Source organism: Homo sapiens, chromosome 1, assembly GCF_000001405.40.
Source record: "Homo sapiens chromosome 1, GRCh38.p14 Primary Assembly".
NCBI lineage: Eukaryota > Metazoa > Chordata > Mammalia > Primates > Hominidae > Homo > Homo sapiens.
Genome location: NC_000001.11, coordinates 88,294,837 through 88,307,859, shown reverse-complemented (window position 1 = coordinate 88,307,859; position 13,023 = coordinate 88,294,837). Strand labels below are relative to the sequence as shown.

The window sequence follows — 13,023 nt, the reverse complement described above, 5'->3', positions numbered from 1 at the left end:
GTGAAGATCAAAGAGTGGGGGATAACGAAGCTTTATAAAGAATAGATGAAGATAAGGTTCTTGAGATTAAGAATTTCACACTTTTTGTTTTGTATCTTTGATAGCATGGAGCAATGTGCTAAGCACATAGTAGGGGATCATTAAGTCCTTGTAATATTAATTTGTAAAAATGTAATTGAGAATTACACCTAGCATCAAATTTCAGGTCTTATTTTTTATAAGATAGTAGTATGGAAAATTTTCCTTTGCATAATTATCAGTTAAGAATGAGATATGTTTCAGTAATTGATGAGACAAGTATATGTTCTCTTATTGTTTTGCATAAATTCTCTTAACATAAATTAACCTGTAGTATATCCCCATCACCTGTTCCCTTTGGCCCTCCTCCCATTTGGTTTCTCATTCATGGGTTTAGATATCCATTTTATTCAGTATTTACTGTCTTCTGGATACTTGTGTTCTTTACCCATTGGAAGCTCTTAGTCTAGTGGTAAAGACCAATGAGAAAAGAGGAAAATTCAATTCTGTTTTGATTAACCTCTTACATACTAGAGCTAAGACTCAGTTCATACTTCCTTGTGTGGTAGAAATATTTTTATAGAGATTATTATAAGAAGATGAGACCACAAAACCCCAGGGAATTATGAGCCTCTTGACTTCAAGAAGAGCAGAATTGCAGGATGGTTTTTGATTCAGGTGGCCCTGGGATGTCAGTAGTTTCAGAGCAGAGGTTCCTGAGTCTTCAGGATGTTCTCTTCATTTCTGTGTATCTTACCTTCTGCTTACTTGTGGTTTCTGTGCTATTAAAACTTGTTCTTGTGAGGGATGAATTGTAAGTTTTCTCTAATAATTGGCTTTTAAAATTTGCCCCTGATTCTAATTTTGTCTCTGCATTTCTTAGTTCAAAATACTTAGAAAGGTGAGTGAATTGGTCCAGCCCATGTTTTTTCAAAGAAACCATGGATGCCCTTAGACACTCCATGCCCATCCCTAACTCAATAAATTGTGAAAAGAGGGAAACATCACATAGTAAAAACAGGTCTAAATGCTGTCTGTTCATCAGAGGCTATCAAAGGAGGCATAGAGTAGGCACTGTGTTGATATGTCTAGTTCAAATTTACCCTGTAAGTGCTAGGATGGGATTGTGCACAGAATTCTTGAAGGACACAGAATTGGATCACTTGGTTGAGTCTGGGGATAGTCAGAGCAGACCTCTTGGGGAAGATTACACTTGAGGTTGAGTAGAGTTTGCTCCAGTGAAGAAGTGGAGAACTGTGTTAGGCAGAGAAAACACCACAGTAAGAAATAAGGACAGAAAGAAATATGTTTCGTCGACTGAACCATATATGGTTTAATAAATGTTTCTGAAACTTGAATTGCTAAGTACACAGTGGAGGGAGATAAGAATAGAGCAAGACAGGATCTATGTTAGAATGCATAGTGAAACTGATATGAAAACATTGCCTTATGCAGGGGAGCGACTAGATTGTGTTTATAATTGAGATGCACCATCCTGGTGGCAGATGGAAGCTGTATATAAACATGGTAAGACTGGAGGCAGAGACAACAGGTAGGAGGATAGTTCAGGTAAGAGATTGAAAGGATCCCAACTAGAAAGTTCAGGTAAGAGTAGAAAGAAAGTAATATGTTAAAGCAATATTTCTTGAGTAAAATTGATTCTACTTGGTGACTTGCTAAGATGTGGAAGGTGAAGAGGAGAGAAAAGTCTGGGTTTTAGTTTGACAAAGTTGGTGCAAGGTGGTATTGTTACTCGAGATGCTAAGGAAACACTGGAACGTGATCCTGCTAGAATGTGATTGGAGGAAATTTAACTAGAGAGATGTTATGTTGGGAGTGCCTGGGAACTAAGTATGAAAGAAGTCAATGACTGAGATGAAGAGGAAGAGAAAAAAATGACATTTTAATCCATGAACTGGTCTATCCAGCTTTTCTCTATATTACTGAGAAAAAGCACAGTTGGAAATGGAATAGGTGGGGGCAGGTACAAAAGGGGAAAACCAAAGGTTCATCCCAAAAGAGATTTAGCTTCAGTCATCCAATCACAGATGACTATGCTACCTGGTGTTCCAGCAGCCAGTTCCAGTCTAATGTTGGGAGCCCAATGTGTTCCCAACATAAGACTTGCTGCACCTTCAGTAAAATTTATTCCCATTGACCCTGATGATATAATAGGAGGGTATTCATTAAACTAACAGGAAAGGGTAGTTTGGAAAAAGATGAATAAACATAAACATGTTATCCATTCTTTGAAAAAATACCTACTATGTGGTAGACTTTGTTAAATAACTTAGAAAGCAAAATTTGCTTACTGCCTGTAAAGAACTTTGATGAATTGAAGATGCGTTTAGGAAAATAAAGTAAGTGGGGAAGCATTCATATTAGTAAACAAAGGAAGAAAAGAAGACAAAACCAATAGAATAGAATAAATGATTGATTTGCTTTAGGTAAGAATGACAGAAAAATATGAGTTAGCATGGACTATAGATTGAACAGATTCAACAATGTAAATATAAAAGCAAGGATGATATTGAAATATCTAAATAAAAGTATAGCATATAAGAACAGTAGTGGTTCATCTTCCTAGGATGTCAGATTCCCAATTGAATAGTGTATCTTTTAAAGTTCTTTGGTTTTTATCAACAGAAATAGACCCTGGATATTATTAAGGATTATTTCACTCATAAGTAATAGAAAATTCTATCAAAATGCCTTAAACAACAAAGGAAATCTACTGCCTCATATAACTAAAACTTTCAGGCTTCGGGCTAATTACAGTATCTCCAAGGATGTGGTTTCTTTCCTTCCCCTGTAGTTTTCACAATGTTGGCCTCATCCTAAGACTGGTTTCTCTTGTGATAATAAGGCAGATGCTGACACAACTAGGGCTTCATGTCCATGTCTAATTATTTTAAAATAATTCCCATTGAAGATAGAAGTAACCTCTTTCCTAGAATCCCCGACAAACATGCTCTATATTTGATGGGCCTAAATTCAGTTATATGTCCACTTCCAAACCATTTGCTGTGGCCAAGGGAAGAGGGCATGATAATTAGCTTGAGCCAATCAAGATCTGCTCCTAGAGACAGACATGAAGTCAATTCCACACCAATTGCATGACTAGATGTCTAGAGCCTTGTTAGGAAGAAAGCAAGGGAGGGAGGTGGTTTGTATGTGGGAGAGACAATCAGCTAATGTCTATCACATTAACTTAAAGCAGGAAATGAATGTCTTGGGAGGCCTAGAGGGTAGCTGTGCCTGATGTTTCAGTTTCCTGAAGAAAAGGCTGGAGAATTCATCACAGAAATAGGACATGAACTAGGTCAGCTACTGGGGTCTAGGGGTTGAGGTAACAGGAACCATTTGACAGGCATTTCAGATTATACTGCCAGAATGCCCTAACCTCATTGCTTTCCCATTCTTGTTTTACTCTGCACAGGAGTCAAAGTCACAGTGGAGAGAGTTGGCCAAATTTGGTTCAGGTGCTCACAATTCAACTAGGAGAGCTCGTAGAACATAGACTGATGGTCCCACTGAACTGTTCATAATGGAGAAGAGATACTTGCTCCCAAAGACATTGGGGGTAGTTTTCTAAATAAAGGTTAAAAGGGTCTGGTTTTCCAAACATAAATGTTCACTACAAGTATTATTAGATTCCAAATATAAAAGGGTATAAGGAACTCAGAATGGCTAGATTAAATAAAAAGGATAATTACCAACAAATAGTTTTGACTGAAAATATGTCTGTTCATCAGCTTTTTACTGAGTGTCTAATATATGCAATGTGCTATGTGGATGCTACAATGAATTGTAGAGGTAGGAGGAAAGGAACTTAACCCATTTAAAGAGCATGCAATCTGACACCTTATTTTTAAGGTGAGGAGAGGAGAGCTAGACAGAACAGGACAGTAGTGAGTATTACCAAAGATGGACTAGACCCCTAAACTGCATTATTCTAACCCATCTAGGGTCTTTCTGTTATGCTTTACGTACTCGCTTAGTTGCAAAAATGGTCATAAACCAAACAAACTTCAGAGAAAGGCAGAGAAAGGACCCTAGTACTATCCCATGTTGGAGGCAAGGCTAAGAAGTAATGGGAATGTCTTCCTCCTTATCATCAAAATGGGCAGCATCAAAACCCATTATTAAGACCCTAACCATCCAGTCACTTCAAAACAAGAGCCATCAACTAAAGGGACTAGAGAACTCACTTCAGCCAAAGGTCTGTCAGTAGAGAGGTGGTGGCCAGTGAAGGTAGTGCTTGGCACTTTTTTCCTGAGAACTAAGAAAATTAAAAATAAACTACTGTCTGCTCCAAATAACTTCCATACAGCTATGCAGCAGTACAGAAAAGGGTGAGAAGTGTTGGATCAGGGGCAGGTTCTCTAACTTCTAAAGGTGCCTTCTGCTGCTAAGATTCTGCAGCTTCAGGCTCTTTATTGTATTTTAGTTCAATAAGATTTTTTTTATTTTTTTTAAATCTGTTTGCTACTGTAGTACATTTAAACATCAGCAGATGGGGCCCTTGGTTCCTGTGAAGAATGCCAGGGCTTGAATTTTGTTCTCGTCTGTGCTCTGCGTGAATTTTTCTTGTTGCTTTTACAGCATGTTAAATTTGTACTCTTTATAGTTCACAAACCTTTATTTAATCAAGAAAAATAAAACTCACTAATGGCAAGAGAACCTTTTTTTCCTCTTCTACTGTTCTATAGAGATAAGTTAGATCTGTTTACAAATAGAAAAATGAGACTAACATAATACTCAGACAACATGATTCTGAAACAGCAACAGAAGTCAATGTTGTAATTAATCTGTTGTCCTTAACTCACGAAGCTATGTGGAAGGCTTTTGTTGCATGGACCACAGGTGACAGTTTGGTTGCATCCAAGGTTACTCTGATTCTGCATTATTTTCTCTCCTCTCTCCTGAATTTCGTTTTATGAAGACATTGTGTCAATTGGCTGGTTTTTAGCACTTGCCAATGATTATTATTTTTTTAAGTGATGTTTGTCGATAGTCCATAAAGGGAACAACTGGTCATCTGGTCCTTGCACCTGTTCAAGTGGGTAAGTTTCAGCTTCTTAAAGGTGAGATTCTTTCCCACCAGAAATGTAACAGTCCTTTGAGGAAGGAGTGTAGTTTACTGGGCAGGAGAGATGACAGCATTTGGTCCTCATGCAGTCCTCTCTTGATTTTCTCCCTGATTTTTAACGTGACCTTGCTCTTAAGGATTAATCACTGTTTTTCTTGTGCCTCCAAAATGGGATGACCCAGAATTTTATTTGGTGGAAAGTACTGTGAGGTAACCAGAACAAAATGGTTCCTATGTGCAAAGCTTGATTATATAGATACTTATTTCAATGTGCATGCTGCATCTGTGATTAGTATGATTTAATTGATAGTTTGAAAGAATCTTCCTTAGTTTAATATTTGTTGTAAATAAATGCTTATGCTTGGACAGGTCTTAATAGTGGACTTAAAATACAACAAGAAGAAGACTAAAGGTTTATTGGTGATGGAAGAGATAAAATTGGGCCTCTTTTTTTTGTCATTATTCTGAGTTTAAACAAATAGATCTGTTGTCCAACATCATTGTGCCCTCTTAAGAACTGACATTTCAGTTTGAAAGATGTCCTATGTATTTTAAGGTATATTGCAGATCATACTCATTTCCAAATTTAGGTCTTAAATAGCTAATAAATCTTTAAGAATGAAGCATCTTCATTGATAACATTCTGTGTGTGTGTGTGTGTGTGTGTGTGTGTGTGTGTGTATATATATAATTATATATATATAATTTTTTTTTTTTGAGACAGAGTCTCACTCTGTTGCCAGGCTGGAGTGCAGTGGCATGATCTTGGCTCACTGCAACCTTCGACTTCTGGGTTCAAGCAATTCTCCTGCCTCAGCCTCCCAAGTAGCTGGGACCACAGGTATGCACCACCACACTCAGCTAATTTTTGTATTTTTAGTAGAGATGGGGTTTCACCATGTTGGCCAGGATGGTCTCATTCTCTTGACCTCATGATTCACCTGCCTCGGCCTCCCAAATTACAGGTGTGAGCCACCACACCCAGCCTATACTTTTATAAATGTGTTACCTAATGTGGCAAATTGAGATGCAATTTGCAGATTTAGGATTTGCAGAGTTTACACTGATGAAACTAATGTATTACTTCTGGGTAGAAATGATGTTTGCCTGTGGTTAGCCTGAAGCAAATTTTAGGGAGGAATTGTTCATTTCTTTCCCCCTTTTGTGCTGACAAGCTAAGTGATATATACGGAAATTGTGTGCACTACTTGTGCCTTAGTCTGAGGAACTGCTTATGGGCAAATTTCATTAGTACTTGATTAGTACTTGTGCTAATTAAGCCAGGCACAATTTTGCCTCTGGTATGATGAGTTAAGGCTGGACTGAAAATGTGGCCCTAAATGCATATGTTGGAAGCCTGTAACACCCATATAATCCCGTAGAAAATTCTCACTTGACTCTCCCATCAAGGGTCTAAAAAAGTGGAACAGAGTACTCCATTTCCAGTGCAATTTGAGTTCACTCAGATATGTGATGTGCTAATGTTTAGATTAAGCAGATGGCAAGAAAGGCAGTTGTTAGCTGAGGATTGTTTTTCTCTTTCTGCATATTATTTTCAAACAGTTTAAGAGGTAGGTTACTCTACCTCCTCCCTTTGCTTCTCCCTGAATTAAGAAACATTTAGAAATCCATGGTTCTATTGTTATCATCCTATGCGCCCACGTGCACCCATTTTCTTTGGGTTGTGGTATAAGAATGGTCTCACTGTTTGGTGAGAAAGCTTTGCTGTTTTTGTGATTTCAAAGAAAAAGGAGATAGGTCCTGGCTGAGGCAAGGAATAAAGAGGTGAATTTGGAAACAAAACCTGCTTGGAACAGAACAGATGTTATGCCTCATTCTACATCTCTAATTTCTCCTCTGGGTTTGGCAGTACTGGCCCTGATTCTCCTACTTTTCTCTAGTCCTCTTCCTCCTCCTCTTGCCTTATCCAAAGCCTTTTCCCCCCACTCTACTTCCCTTGCAATTTTGGAGTTTTCCACCTTCATTTTTTACATACATTATGATGTGACATCTTAGTAACTATATAAAAAACAACAAACCCTGGTAACCTTCAGAATTCCTCCAAGCTTGTCTAGCCTCTTGTAAATGAAAAGGTGAAGTTTTAAATATCAGGTTTTATTTATACAGTCATAAAATTTTAGAGCTAACGCTAGACATCATTTCATCTCACTCCGTGTATTTTTTTAGTAAGAGATTTTCTTGGGATTTTGGAGTGGCAGGAAAAGGTAGACATGGGGACAGGAGAGAGAGATGCTGGAGGGAGAGAGGGAGAAGTTTGGGCAAGTTTGGTTTTTATTGTGTGTTTTCATGCAATTCCCTCTGAGGATTCTTCTAGAGATTGCAAAAAATATTTAATTGCTTTTCAATTATGTTGGATATAAGAGCAACATTTCTTTGAATGAAATTCCTAGCTATGGGCAGCTCCAGGGAAGCTTGGCTCAGTTGGGTTAAGTGAGCAAATCTGCAAAGCTACCCTCACCTGCAGCCATCTTCTTCTTCTTCCTTTACCTGGAAGAAATATCTTTCTTTTCAGCCAAGACCAGTCCTCTCACTGGTGTCTGGATCTTCTTGAGTTCTTAAGAATACCAGTTACCCACCCTCTGCTCCCTCCACTTTGCTGCCTTGTCCATTTTTTTCTTCTTCACTAGATTACTCCCCTTGGCTTACATATATGCAGTATACTAGATGCCTGCACCATGCATACTCCTTCTGATATCACCCTCATTTCTTTACCCTCATTTTCAGCAACGATTTTCAAGAGTATTGTCTATGCAGGTCATTGTTGTCTTCATTGCCTTAACTGCCCATTTACTCCTTAACTCATTCTAATCTGACTTCCAATCCCTCCACTGAAACTACTCTTGATAACACAATAAAATGTCTTTCGGTGATGACAGATCCAGATCGTGTTTTTCTGTTTTCATCTTCATTGTCATCTTAACATTCAACATATGGCTAGTGTAATTGAGGAACCAAAGAGCCATGACCCAGTTCCTTTTTGGAAACTTTCTCCTTTCTAGGTTTCTGTGATGATGCACTCTCCTTGTTTTCTCTAATGTCTCTGGCTCTTTAATTTTATTCTCTCTTTTGGTCAGAAATCAATGTCTATTTTGTCTGCTACTTTCCGTATAATGGCTGGTACTGAATCTGGTATATAGTAAGCTCTCAAAAATATTGATTAAATGAATAAATGAAATAGTTTCAGTACCATGAGCATCATGTTTTTCCCTCTAGAGATCCGTGCAGTATGGTAGCTACTAGCCATATGTGGTTATTTAAATTTAAATTAATTAAAATGAAAACTTCCTCAATTATACCCGCCATATTTCAAGCACTCAATAGCCACATGTTTGACTAGTGGCTAACATATTGGACAGTGCAGATTTTTAGAATGCTGCCATAATTGCTGACAGTTCTATTGGCTGGCGCTGTTCTAGTGAGTTTAAATTTAAGTGCAATTGCTGAAGTCTGGGCCATGTAAGTCATAAGGTCATGCAGAAATTTGGGGAAATTATTGTATCTCTCTACAGGCCTACAAAAACATACAGGGCAAATGGTTGACTAGAACAAACAGATATTTCTACTATTATAAAGGAGGACAGAGTAGTATCCTAGTTAAATGCATAGGATTGGTAATGGACAGAATTAAGACCTAGTCCTACTATAACATTTGACAATTATATGTCAAGGGCAAGGGTTTCATCCATTTTGCCTCTTTGTACCTCAATTTCCTTAACCGTAAAATGGAATTACTAGTGGTACCTTTCTTATAGGGTTGCAGAAATTAAAGAGGTTGATGCAAATAAAGTAGTTAGTATTGTTCTCAGCACAAAGTGAGAGCTCAGTAAATGGCAGCTAGTATTATTATTGTTGTTTTTACACATATCCCCAGGATGAAGGCAAACACCTACACATTTCTTCTTCCATTCCATCAGTGCTCTCTAACCCTGCTATAGTTTTTCCAGCCAACATACCAATAGTGAGTAAAGGGTTACACATTCTAGGCAGACATGACAGGAGAGCAGGATTGGAATGCGAGAGTCTTGAAGAAGTCCAGGATTTGACTGAAAATATTTGCTACAGGATGGATAGAATCTTCTAGGGCCCTGCATTTTCAGCTTGAATCTCTGCATGCATGCACTGGGAACAGACTTAGGAAGGTTGGCTTGAGCAGCTTCCACCAGGAGTCCACATGTTCCCCACAAATACTGCACTGTCAAATATCTGTTCTCTTTGTCCTGACAGCACAAAGAAATGCTGTTGTTTTTGCCTAACTGGGAGAATACCTAACTGAAAGATAGACAACCTGGGTTTCCAATGCTCCTCTATTAGATCCTATCAGTTACTTCATAAAGGTATTGTCCAGTTCCCTTTAACATGTGGATAACCACCCACAATTTTTCAGTTTCATCCCAATAATGCTGGTAAGTTAACTACCCCATCTTTGCAGGGACTGACAGAGTCTCTGAAGAAGCACTTCTGCAAGAGCTTGTCATTTGCAGTTTGACATTTCTGACTTACTGTGCCCCATAAGCATGAATTTGGAAATTCCTTTCGGAAGGATTTACATGTCACAAAATTTTAGGATAGGTCTGATTATCATTTGTTGTCTCAGCTTCAGATTTTCTTTCTTATTAGAGACTTACTCAGTTCAGGTCAGCAGCAGTTTCTATAAAAGGAATTGGTTTGCCAGATTTTAACATAGGAAGTGGTTCTGGCACACCTGTTTAGGGTCTTACTAATTTCTTGAGTGTAGTAATTTGAGCAAATCACATGTGAAATACTTTTTTGGGTAATATCCGTTAGTACAAGAGCCCTGATTGCCTCTCTTCCTATCCTCTGTAGCACCAGACCCAGCTACTATTAGTAGATTCCACAATGAGCTGCTTCATTTTCAAAAGTACTTATGGTCAGCTTTTAAAAAATTAGAGTGTTTTAATTCAATCTGACATCTACTAGAACAGAAGATTGATTCAACTTAACTTTTGTTTTGTTCAGATGTGATTGCCAATGACTAATTTCCATATTTCTAGCCTTCCCATCACCTTCCTGATCTCTGTGTCTGCCAAGTTCACTGGGTTAGAACTTGAAACTAGTGTGATCTTCCAGCCCCAGGGTCCCATAAAGCCCCTGTAACCTTGCCTAATGGTACTGTCACAAGAGGGACAACTAGACGTCTATATAGACCATGACAAATCTTTCTTGGAAAACAGTTTTGGTGCTTGCCCTTCTCAAGATGGCTGAGTGCATCATCTTCCTTTCTAAATAGCAGCATATTCTTTAGTCTTTAACTGCAAAAAATTGGATTTACAATTTAATTAAATGCAGAATTTTTAACTGGGCACCACAAAATATGGTTTTCTAAGTCAGTGAGAAGAAATATTAACTTTTAACCCTTTGGTTCTTTCTAGTAATAATGTTTCCATCAGTACTCACCCTGAAAAAAAAAAAAAGCAGGTAACTTTATGATTTGGAGCATATGGAATGGTCTTTATATAGACATAAAAGATTAAAAAGATGAAATGTTTTCCTCTCTATTGCTGAAACAGCCAAAGAAAGAGGAGGAGGACTGATAGACAGCAGCCTGTTTTCTATAGGGAATATATTAAATACCCTTGATAATGAGAATGTTAGCTCCAGGGACAAAGAGTTAGTTCATTTAAATGATTATTACTTTGTCTCATTTGCTTTTTTTTTTCTTTCATACTTTTTTTTTTTTTTGGTATTTTTCTTTGAGCCACGGTTTCTGTCCTTTACCAAGTATTTACAATTTCTTTCAAGTGAGATCAAATGGGATTGCACTTCCTGTTTCATGGGGGTTGGCTCCACCATTGAAAATTATGGGTGCCAGGCAGAAAGAAGCGGGTAACTAAAGGGAGATTTCTCCCTTTAGAAGGAAAAGCTTCATTTTAGTTGAAAAGGAAAGACAATGCAGCTGTTTTGAGTAGCTTACATCTTTAGAAATGCTAATGAATGTGATTGAATTTCACTGAAAGTGGGACTGAACAGTGCAAGTCAAAAAGAAAAAGGAGTTTTGAGGAACTAGTCTCATTTAGAGACAAAGATCTTATTTACAGTAACTTTATCCTAAGATCTCCATTTGCAGTGCTCCTAATTTAAAAATATAGAGCCAAAGCAAAAATGTTCACCTAAGCTTTTGGCTCATCTCGGGTTTTCTCTAAATTTCTTTTTTTGGGAGAAGCATTGTTCTCAAATAATAACCAGTTCAAGAAATTTGGTGTCAAATTCTGCTAGCCCATCCTTGTTTAATTGAATAGGGTATGCAAAATTGAGAAACAATGCAGGCAGGCAAAAGGAGCCCCTTGCCTCTATTGAAGGGCTCTGGTGGTAATGGTAAAGTGAAGAGAGCAGTGGAGCTGTGTAATTGCCAAGGATTACTGTTGTTATTCTTCATTATACATGGATTTTTAAGGATAACAATTGATCTATCCATGTCGGCAACCAGTTCTCAATTTTTGGGGGATTTGAAGGGAAGTCTTAGATAGCTACAAATGGTAAACTTGGCCTGTTTTGGATTCTTGGGCTTCCTGCGGAGATTCTGCTCATGGCTGGGTGTTAATGAAGCATCCAAAATAAAAGATGGCAGGGAAGGCAGAAAGTAGGAGGCCCTTGCAAAGAAAAAGAAAATAGCTTTCTCACCCATCGCTAGGTTCATGGGTAGGGCCCCATAATAAAAACTAGATTAACAAGAGAAAAGCACACACTTTATTTAATAAGCTTTACATAACACAGGAGCCTTCAGAAATGAGGATACAAAGAAACAGAGAAAACTATGTATTTTTATAAATCCTTTATAAATAATTTATAAATCCTTAGGTTTGATGAAGAAGTAAGTAGTCACGCAAAGGCATGATTGGACAGAGTGGGTATGATAGAGAAGTGGTAATAAATTGGGGTGAACTTAGCAAAGCCTGTTTGATTCTTCTCTGTATCCCCTTGTCTTCAGAAATAAGGATATTCCTTTCCTGCAGGTGTAGGGTGGGTACCTCTTGAATGAGGGTCTTATGTCCTGCGTCAGGGGAAAGGAGCAGGAGAAGTGACCTTCCTAGGTTTTATGATCTGCTTCAGGAAAGAAGGGCAAGGAGATTATGAGAATAGCTTCTGCTGTTTTCTCAAATGCCAGGGTGCTATATTTTGGGGGTAGTACCGTCCAAACTCCATCACTCTGAAGAAACCTCTGATCTTTACATAATTCAGGCCCATCTTCCTGACTTCCTGTTCCAGGGTTCCCTTTCAGTCATCCTTTCTTTATCTTCATCTTCCCATTATCTGAATCAGTTTAGAGTCAGGAAAATAAAATGTAGAAATAACGAATGTGGAGCAATTGCTTGCATCTATGTATCCCCCAAGATTTTTGCGTTGTTTTATATATATATATATTTTTTGACACTGATAGAACCCTCAACTTAGAAAAAGTGCATGGCCCTCAGTAAATACTTGTGGAGAAATGCAGAATAAATTTTACTGGTAACTTGCTATCTCACCTTCATCCTGCCATCAGAGCCTCACTGGAGTGCGATAGCTGGGAATATCTGGTTTTGAGCAGGATGACGTGGCCTCCTTGTACCTGCACATGATGAGCTCAGTGAATACTGAAGGAAAGAAGGAAGGAAGGGAGGGAGGAAGGTAGGTTACATTTCACTTCACACAGGATGACATGAATACATTTGTTTGGAATATAAACTCAGAAAAACAACTGAGATACTGAGGAAGAACATGTTACTACATCTCAACATTAAGTACGTAAAATATTCTGCACATTTTGGACAGATGCATTTCTTACAAATAAGTACAGCTTTGCTTTATCTGCTTTGAATGTTAGGGCTTTAATAGTCTCTGAATATACAAGCATTTTGACCTTTGGTAGCACTCTGGGACTAGGTATCTTTGTA

General features: G+C 38.1%; 1 annotated feature.

Moving 5' to 3' along the window:
- Positions 10,765-11,739: an enhancer, noted in NCBI's record as "NANOG hESC enhancer chr1:88761804-88762778 (GRCh37/hg19 assembly coordinates)". NCBI's record gives its function as "activates a minimal SCP1, AML or CMV promoter by ChIP-STARR-seq in naive H9 embryonic stem cells {active_cell/tissue: H9 hESC(naive)}" and the evidence as "EXISTENCE:reporter gene assay evidence [ECO:0000049][PMID:30033119]".